The sequence below is a fragment of the Homo sapiens genome, chromosome X (assembly GCF_000001405.40).
Source record: "Homo sapiens chromosome X, GRCh38.p14 Primary Assembly".
Classification (NCBI taxonomy): Eukaryota; Metazoa; Chordata; class Mammalia; order Primates; family Hominidae; genus Homo; species Homo sapiens.
Genome location: NC_000023.11, coordinates 111406806 through 111415548, shown reverse-complemented (window position 1 = coordinate 111415548; position 8743 = coordinate 111406806). Strand labels below are relative to the sequence as shown.

General features: G+C 40.4%; 1 protein-coding gene across 11 annotated transcripts in view, besides 2 other annotated features; it reads left to right on the top strand.

Moving 5' to 3' along the window:
- Positions 3259–3790: an enhancer, noted in NCBI's record as "OCT4-NANOG hESC enhancer chrX:110654987-110655518 (GRCh37/hg19 assembly coordinates)". NCBI's record gives its function as "activates a minimal SCP1, AML or CMV promoter by ChIP-STARR-seq in naive and primed H9 embryonic stem cells {active_cell/tissue: H9 hESC(naive and primed)}" and the evidence as "EXISTENCE:reporter gene assay evidence [ECO:0000049][PMID:30033119]".
- DCX (doublecortin) overlaps positions 3357–8743 on the top strand; it is a 118414-nt gene continuing 113027 nt past the window's right edge. For 6 of the 11 annotated variants that reach the window (NM_001369373.1, NM_178153.3, NM_001369372.1 and 3 more), the window contains exons 1-2: positions 3357–3411; positions 5129–5514. In NM_001369373.1, the coding sequence (NP_001356302.1) occupies positions 5151–5514 (364 nt within the window). In that variant the 5' untranslated portion in view covers positions 3357–3411; positions 5129–5150. Of the gene's footprint in view, positions 3580–4402; positions 4796–5128; positions 5515–8743 lie in introns of those variants that run through there. The other 5 variants (NM_001369374.1, NM_001369371.1, NM_001369370.1 and 2 more) reach the window with 3 other exon arrangements.
- Positions 3791–4323: an enhancer, noted in NCBI's record as "OCT4-NANOG hESC enhancer chrX:110654454-110654986 (GRCh37/hg19 assembly coordinates)". NCBI's record gives its function as "activates a minimal SCP1, AML or CMV promoter by ChIP-STARR-seq in naive and primed H9 embryonic stem cells {active_cell/tissue: H9 hESC(naive and primed)}" and the evidence as "EXISTENCE:reporter gene assay evidence [ECO:0000049][PMID:30033119]".

Genomic DNA, 8743 nt, shown 5'->3' with positions numbered 1-8743 from the left:
CTATGTGCCAGGGTCTGTTCTAAACACTATACATATATTTGCTCATTTAATCCTCATAACAACTGAGAATGCTACTATTATTATCATCACCTTCGTGTGACAGATGGGTGAAGTGAAGCACAGAGGGTTAAGTACCTCACCCAAGGTCCCTAGCTAATAATTAGTAGAATCAAAATTTGAACCTAGGCAGTCTGGCTCCAGAGTCCATGCTTTTCCCATTATCTTATGATATAGCAAGTTCCTGTTTATGCTGATCTCTGTTTTGTTTAATTAATCTTTGTCTGTCCTCCAGGCCAACACCACACTATCTTCATTACTATAGCTTTATAACAAATTTTTGTAGGGCAGTTATTGGCTTCTGATTTCTCTTTTTTACAATGATCTTGGCTACTCTTAGAGTTTTATATTCTTCCACAAAAATTTTGAAGTAATTTTTTGAGTTTCACAAAAATTCGTGTTGGGGCTTTTATTGGAATTTCTTCATATGTATAGATTACTTTGGGGAGGATTGATACCTTACAGCATTGCATCTTGTTATCCATGAGCCTGGTCTGACTTTACATTTATTAACAGCTTCTGTTATGTTTTTCAATAGTTTTATGATTTTCTCAATAAAGGCCCTATGCATAAGCAATCTTGTGATATGAGATGTGAGTCCAGGGGAAAAGTACATCTTTAAATATGGAAGTCAACTTTGAAGGTCAAGGGAAAGTCCAACCTCGTTTCCTGTTTGCTTACTCTGTCCCACACAGGATCCTACTCTTTGTGCTTCTGATTGGTAACATAAACTAATAATTTTTTTGGTATTTTGTGTGTGTGTGTGTGTGTGTGTGTGTGTGTGTGTGTGTGTGAGAGAGAGAGAGAGAGAGAGAGTAAAAGAGAGGGAGAGAGAGAGAGAGAGAGAGAGAGAGAGAGAGATGGATGAGAAATTTCTTGACCCTGCTCTTTAAGCTGAGTTTGATTAACCCAGACTGCAGTATATCAAGAAAGATCTAATCCCTTCTTCATGATTTTTGCAAGATGCATAGTCCTGTGCTATCTCCTTTCCTCAATGAGTCGTCAAGCCCCTCAGGGGCAGTGATGGATGTTTCCTACACTGTCTTGCCTGTGGTACAGGGCACATGGTAAGTAATCAAAAGGTCGTATTGCTACATTTCCAACATAGAGTTGCTATTCTTTTTCTTAAATCACTTCACTCCCTCAACCGTGACTTTCCCTTGACCTTCAAAGTTGATTTCCATATTTAAAGATTTACTTTTTCCCTGGACTCACATCTGAGACCTTCTCTTTGCCAATGGCCTGTTTCCTCTGAAGAAGTGAGAAAGAAGGTCTTGGTAAGTAGCTGAGAGTTCTTTGAGAAGAAATATCTTTGGAGATGATCTAGTCCAGTTTTTGCAAAAGTTTTTTATCCCTGCAGAACATTAGTCCATGTTCTGGGGCGACCAAAAGGTTCTGAGCTTTAAAAATAAGTGGAAGCCCTGTATACCAAATTGTTTTCTTTTTGAGACACATTTTATAGTTTATATTAAAGGCCCTGACAAGTTTTATGATAAGCAAAATTATCTTCGTTTAGCGCAACACTTTTCAGACATTTTTGACCACAGAATTTTTTTTCCTGTTTTTAAGGAACACCTATTAATGCCCACATATCTCAAACAAGGAAATATTGATCCTGCCTATCCCTCTGCTCTCTATTATATATAAAGCAAACAAAGTCATTTATCCTAGGCTGTCTCATAAAAACATTTTGTAGCTTCCACAGTAGCATTGCAAAGCCTATATTATGAGGAATTTTCCTCTGAAATACATTCCAAATGGTTCGTGTTTAAGTTTTATTATCCCATCCATTGTTGTATCTTCACCAGAAATAAAATGATTTTTAGTTCTGATGCAAAATTAATTGCTACATATTTACTGAATGCTTATGATGTGCAAGAAAGAAGTTTTAAGACATTAGCTTTGTTGGAATTTCCATATTTTCCTGCCCTTATTCCTTGATTTTTCTTTGCCTCTAGCCTGAATAATGTTGATTTTTCATGAGGTTGCCACAAGGTAAGGCAACAACACATGGAAGAAAACAGGGCAGACACATGCATTCCCCTGAGGTACTTGTATAGTAACCAAGAAATCAGCAGCAAGGTGTTGGGGGGACTTAACTAGGTAGGTTGCACATTTGAGGCTATCCACTCAACTAACAGACAGTTCCAGGCTTTGCTGAGTCAACACCTTTCACAGAAGAAAGACCATCATATATTTTATCCCACTTGGTGGCAGCTTACAATAAAACACATGCAGAGAAAATGCTTAAATATAAAAGTTCAACAGCACTATATAAAAGGAAGGGTTAATTATACTAGGAATCAGATATAAAATAATTACTGAGCATGCTCTTAGCTCTGAGCTTCCTGGAAGCCAAGCAAAAATAGAACCATGATAGTTCAAGGCTGCTACATATTGATGCATGTAGCTTCAATTGTGAAGATGGTAGCATCCCCCTACCCCATTTAACCTCTCACCTTTCTCTTTTGTTTTATAGTTCGGCCTGATCTAATTAGTTCAATTTGGATGCTTCCTTGAGTTTTTTTTGTAACATATTTTATATAAAGAAGTCAGTTAGTGACAAATAAGCAGTTTGAGGAGAAATCTGTTAATATTTATTTTGTAGCCATCAGATTTACTTCACATAGAAAGGTCTTTGGGTTGGGTTTGAACTTCCAAACTCTCAAAGGTAAATGCCACATTAACCTTTCATTAACCAAATTCTTACACCAAGCTGATAGATTTGGGATGTCCTTTTTACTTCTATCTTCCATAATATTCTAAAATTATTTTCCCTTGTTTTGTTCCTATCCTACTTCCTCTTAGTCTACTTTGTTGACTTCATTAAAAAACAAAAAACCAGTTGTTGGATACTTGAGCTAAACTGCCTTAAAGAATCTGCAGATTTTATTTTATTTTTTTTCTCTCAAGAGGGTAAAAGGAAGAGAGCTACAATTTCTAAGAAGCCTGGCTTGGCTGTCTGAGTCTGGCCCCCAGGCAGATTAGGCCAAGGTTTTGGCCAAGTGAAATTGCCAATTTTCTAAAAGAAAGGGCTAGCACATTGCTCATTAGAGCATTCTGATTTTGTCTGCGCAATCTTTTTGCTACCCCGCAATTTCCTGTTGGTTATAAATGAAACCTTTCTAGCTGTTAATGCAGCCTGTGAATTTTTTTAAAAGCATGTAATTAATCATAGGAGGTTGGGGGGATTCACTAAGCCTGAGTTACATGGGAGAAGCTGGACAAGGCACTAGGACCTAGAAGGCATCTATCCACCCTGGCAGGAATTTCTTGCTTGGAGCTCAGACAACAAAGGCATAGAGAGATTGGTTTTCTTTCTCTCAGCATCTCCACCCAACCAGCAGAAAACCGGTGAGTGGGGCTTTTAAGTGATTTTCAAGAAGAATGTAACAGATGTCAAACGGGAAAAGCACAAGGCAAAGCCTGCTCTCTCTGTCTCTCTGTCTCCTCTTCTCCTTTTTTGCCTTATTCTATCCGATTTTTTCCCTAAGCTTCTACCTGGGATTTTCCTTTGGAAAAGTGAGTTTGATGTTCCTTTGTTTTCACTGTGATGTTAATTTAGAATAATACTACCTCTGATCCTAAAGCAAAGCAAAGCCTTACTGGCATGCCTGGGGAAATGTTTGCTGCTTGCCTTGAGGAGGTGGGGTCTCTTACCACTGCAGGTTGTCTGACAGAGACAATGCTGAGCTCAGCATAGGTCATGGTGACATTGGAAAAAAGGCGGAATTGAGCCTGGCAGACCCATTAGGCACCAGTCTTTCTTATCTCCTGTCCTCCTGGTCCCTTGCAAATATATTGATGTGGCAGTGTGTAGCAGCTGAGCCCTGCTTGCTTTGTGAGTCCTTTTATCCCCATCTGTGAGATGCATGTTAATAGTTTGGCTCGTAGGATGTCACTACATTTGCTAGCATTTGTGGCTTCAGTTGTATTGGGTTTCATGTTTTGATTGTTTGGGGTTCTTGGTGGGGGAGGGGGTTCAACAGAAGGGAGAAAAGCAAAGCCTGACAAATGACCATCTTTTCTCAGCTAATGCACCTGGGCAATATACAAGTTTGGGGTGAATTGCCTGCTGTGAGGGTAAATGTCACTTCAATTAAGGTAGAAACCCAGAACAATGAAAGGTGTGCTTCCTTCTAAAGGTCCCGTATGCTGTTCGGAGAGTCATTTGTGAATCTTTCAACAATTAAATTATTCCATTAAGAGGTGTTGCTGCATCAGTGGGGAGGGGGTGGAGCACCTGGGGGGGAAAAAAAAGGATTTTGTGAACAAATGGAACCGGGGGAAGACAGAGCTAGTAACTTGTTAAATAACTTATTTTTCTAATCCTTTTTCCCCCCAGCTTATTTCTTATGAATGTCGGATAGCTGCACCAGCTTGGTGGGGAAAGGGTTTGATGAATAGCACAAAGACACTGGCTGTTCCCTGGAGGCTGTCCCTTTAAAGGAGAATCTTAGTTTATTCTGGGGGGAGGGGATGCACACATTAGAGTAGGAAAGAGGGCTTGGAATAAAATGAAAACACTCCCCCTTCATAGTCATTGTACTGAAATGCAAAGACTGCTTCCTAAGCTGGAGATGCTAACCTTGGGTAGCTCCTTCTGTTCTCTTCAAGGGGAATTTTGTCAGGCTATGGATTCATTTACAACTGTTAGTCATGTGGGCATGTGTGAGGAAACAGATGCCAGTTTTAATGTATTTAGCCCGAAGTTCCAATTTGATAGGAGCCACTGTCAGTAAGTCTCAGGATTTTCAGCTATTTCAAAATCTCCCCTTCTCCTCTGTCTGGAACAGTGCCAAGAGTGCCTCCCTCTCTATCTCTTACTCCCAACCCCCACAACCACCAGCACCCCCGCCCAGCCCCTCCTTCTTCTCTATTAAGATCAATATTCCTGCAGGTCAGGGGCAAGCAGCAGATGGGTCACAGGCTTTTTTCAACCAGTTCTTTTCACAAGCAGCAGATTGCAGATCTGGATCTGGCTAATATTTAAAATCCCTTCTTTTTTCCTTCTCCTTGTCCCTTTTTGTTTTTGCCTCTCTTCACCCCCATCCCTTTCTCCCACGCTCAGGTCTCTGAGGTTCCACCAAAATATGGAACTTGATTTTGGACACTTTGACGAAAGAGATAAGACATCCAGGAACATGCGAGGCTCCCGGATGAATGGGTTGCCTAGCCCCACTCACAGCGCCCACTGTAGCTTCTACCGAACCAGAACCTTGCAGGCACTGAGTAATGAGAAGAAAGCCAAGAAGGTACGTTTCTACCGCAATGGGGACCGCTACTTCAAGGGGATTGTGTACGCTGTGTCCTCTGACCGTTTTCGCAGCTTTGACGCCTTGCTGGCTGACCTGACGCGATCTCTGTCTGACAACATCAACCTGCCTCAGGGAGTGCGTTACATTTACACCATTGATGGATCCAGGAAGATCGGAAGCATGGATGAACTGGAGGAAGGTAATTTAAATAGTGGGTGGTGGCCGTTGGTGGGAGGTGGCATCATTGGTTATGGTTACATTCTTCGGTTGCTTTGAAAAAAAATTAGGCAATGTATTTTTCAAAACACCGGGTTGATTGATGCTCAAATTTCTAATGCTATAGACATCAACAGAACCATTAGCAATCACCCTTCAGTCTCTGCTGAGGTTGAAGTGTGAATGGTGGTGATCATGCATTGTGCTTATCTGCCAGGGTATAAAAAGGAAAATCTTAATTGTAGCATTTACTCTAGATTTTGTTCATAATTAACTCTGAGTAGCACTATTGAGGCAGAGCATGAAATCATTAAGGGTATAACGAGGAAGGACATTTGGTTGGGTTAACAGAGAAAATATTATGCCCAAATTTTCTTTGAACTGCTGAGAAATTATTTGTGAATTGCAACTCATTGGAAATATGCACCCTAAGAGCAGGATTTCCTGGACATATTCACAGAGGATTATTCTTTTAGGTAAGTGGTCGCGGCTCAGCTGTTGCTTCTAAAAAGCCTACTTTAGGGTGTGTCCCTAAGGCTGAGGTCATTGGGAGAAATACCAAAGAAAGCTGTAGGTATGTCTGGTATTTTAATAAAGACCATTCCTATTAGAATAGGATTTGACTCACTATACCTAAATCCCCTTATAACCTCTATAGATTTTTGTGTGGCAACTAAATTTTCTGAGTAGATTGCCAAAAATCCCAACAACCTGTGTACCCACCTCAAAATAGGGAAAATCCTACCTCTTACCAGAACTTACCCAGCCATAGAGTCTTCTTTGTGGTCATTTAGAAAATAGATCTTGGGTCACATTTTTAACATTCTATATTATCAAATCAATTATACTGAGGATGCTTCCCTATTTTAAAATTGGTGGATATAACACATGTGATCAATTTGACCTAATACAGTGCTTTAAAGAACAGCTTCAAGGAGTGGTGATAATTAATGTGTTCCTCCTCAAGCCCCTCCCCCATTATCCAGCCCTCTCTCCTCACTCCTTTCATTCCCTGAGCAAAGGTGAGTTTAAAGCAGGCAGATCTCTAGAGTAACCAAATTATGAAATAACTAACAAGGAAGGAGAAATAGCACCTTAAAGAATTTGATGTGGGAAAAACCTGCCTCTGCTTCACTGCTTCTAAGTTTCTTGTGTTCCTAGACAAAGGAGAATGAGGGTTTCCTTTGTACAAGACACTAGTTCTCTCAAATAGCTGCTGTTGCCCAAGTTGTCAGGCAAAGTGATTGGGACCAGTTACTTATAAAAGACAGTGTCCATATTGTTGCTGCATCTGAGTCTCAAGGTTCAAGTTCGACTTCCTTCCTTTCTTTCTTTCTTTCTTTCTTTCTTTCTTTCTTTCTTTCTTTCTTTCTTTCTTTCTTTCTCTTTTCTTTCTTTCTTTCTTCCTTTCTTTCTTTCACAGAGTTTCGCTCTTGTTGCCCAGGCTGGAGTGCAATGGCATGATCTTGGCTCACCACAACCTCTGCCTCCTGCCTCAGCCTCCCAAGTAGCTGAGATTACAGGCATGTGCCACCATGCCTGGCTAATTTTGTATTTTTAGTAGAGGTGGGGTTTCTCCATGTTAGTCAGGCTGGCCTTGAACTCCCGACCTCAGGATCCACCCGCCTTGGCCTCCCAAAGTGTTGGGATTACAGGTGTGAGCCACTGTGCCTGGCCGAGATCTTTCTACATAGCTGACCTTGAAAACCAATGCCCAGGAAGCTTAGATTATTTCATCATGTGTTCAATGGACAGGCAGTGGTTAATCCTAGGCCCTTCCTGACCATCAAAGGACTGGCCATCCTGGAGCATGTCTTAAAATAAAGGAGAGTCACGGCAACTTTGAAGGGTTTGAAGCTAGGTCGAGGGAGCTGTCCAACAGAGTAATTGTTAGGGTGTCTGTCTTTTGTCACTGTAAAATCCACATCTCAGTCAAATTTCAGGGATTTCTCTGTAACAACTTTCACAGACAAAGCACCCTGTATCACCCAATATGTCCTCATTTCCATGAACTGTGATATTCTAAAGACCACAATAGACATTAGGAAAGAGTACTGAACCAAGTGACATTGTATTCAGACCAAGTATTAGAATATTCTTGTCTCTGATATAAGAGAGGCGTTATGCACAAAATTTCCCCAAAATCCATTTTTTACATGTTGATTTTTCTCCCTAGATATGTGTGTGTGTGTGTGTGTGTGTGTGTGTGTGTGTGCGTATTGATGTATCACGAGGGGCTGGTGATAATCTCTGTTCAACATAGGTAGGCAATAAATGTAACTTTGAAAAGACTGCAGCTTTCTATTCCCTTGATTACCTTTGAGTCATATTAGGTTGAACTCCTCTTATCTGTCACTCCTGGGTGCAGTAGTACTTCTTGGTGAATTCCTGGACTATGTGAAGTGTGAATAGGGCTCAGTTGCATTTGTTCACATGTCATGTACAACTACAAGGCACAGTGGACCTCAATACCCATTTAGTCCTTAGTACTGCCTATTCAGTCAAGAAAATTCAGGGCTATGTCTGGGATAGTGTTAAGAAATGTGATCAATTTTCCCACTGCCACAGAGCCAAATGGGAAAGGGCACTGGGATGAGGAGGATGAAGACAATGTGTCTTTTTCTCTCCTATTTTATATTTTAGAACTGCCCATCTGGGAATGGAGGACAGACTTCCCGGTGTGAAATATCAGGGTCATTGGGTTCTAGTCTTAGAGGCAGCAGATTATAATGAAAACAGAAGTCTTTGGACTCAGATTTGGTTGAAATTCAGGATCTGTCAGTGCTAGCCTGTAAGACCTTGAGGAAACCATCTAGATTCCCTAAGCCTCATTTTGTCATCTGTAAAGTGGGAATAATGGCTTTGAGGATTAAATAAGACAGTAGATATAAAGTGCATATTACTCTGCCTGGCACACAGTAGTGCTTAATAAAAGGTAGTTATTATTGTTTGAGTTATCCTAGTTTATAGCTGGTTAGCTACATGATCATAGGTTTGTTCTTATCATTAATGTGACTCATGTTAATTATTTTTAAAATAACTCTTTAAAAAAACAAACAACTGTATTAAGGTATAATTTGCATAACATGAAATTTACCCATTCAAGTGTACAATGATTTTTAGAAGATTTATCAAGTGGTGCAACCATCATCATAACATAATTTTGGACCATTTTCATTTCCTCAGAAAGAAACCCTATTCCAATTAGTTGT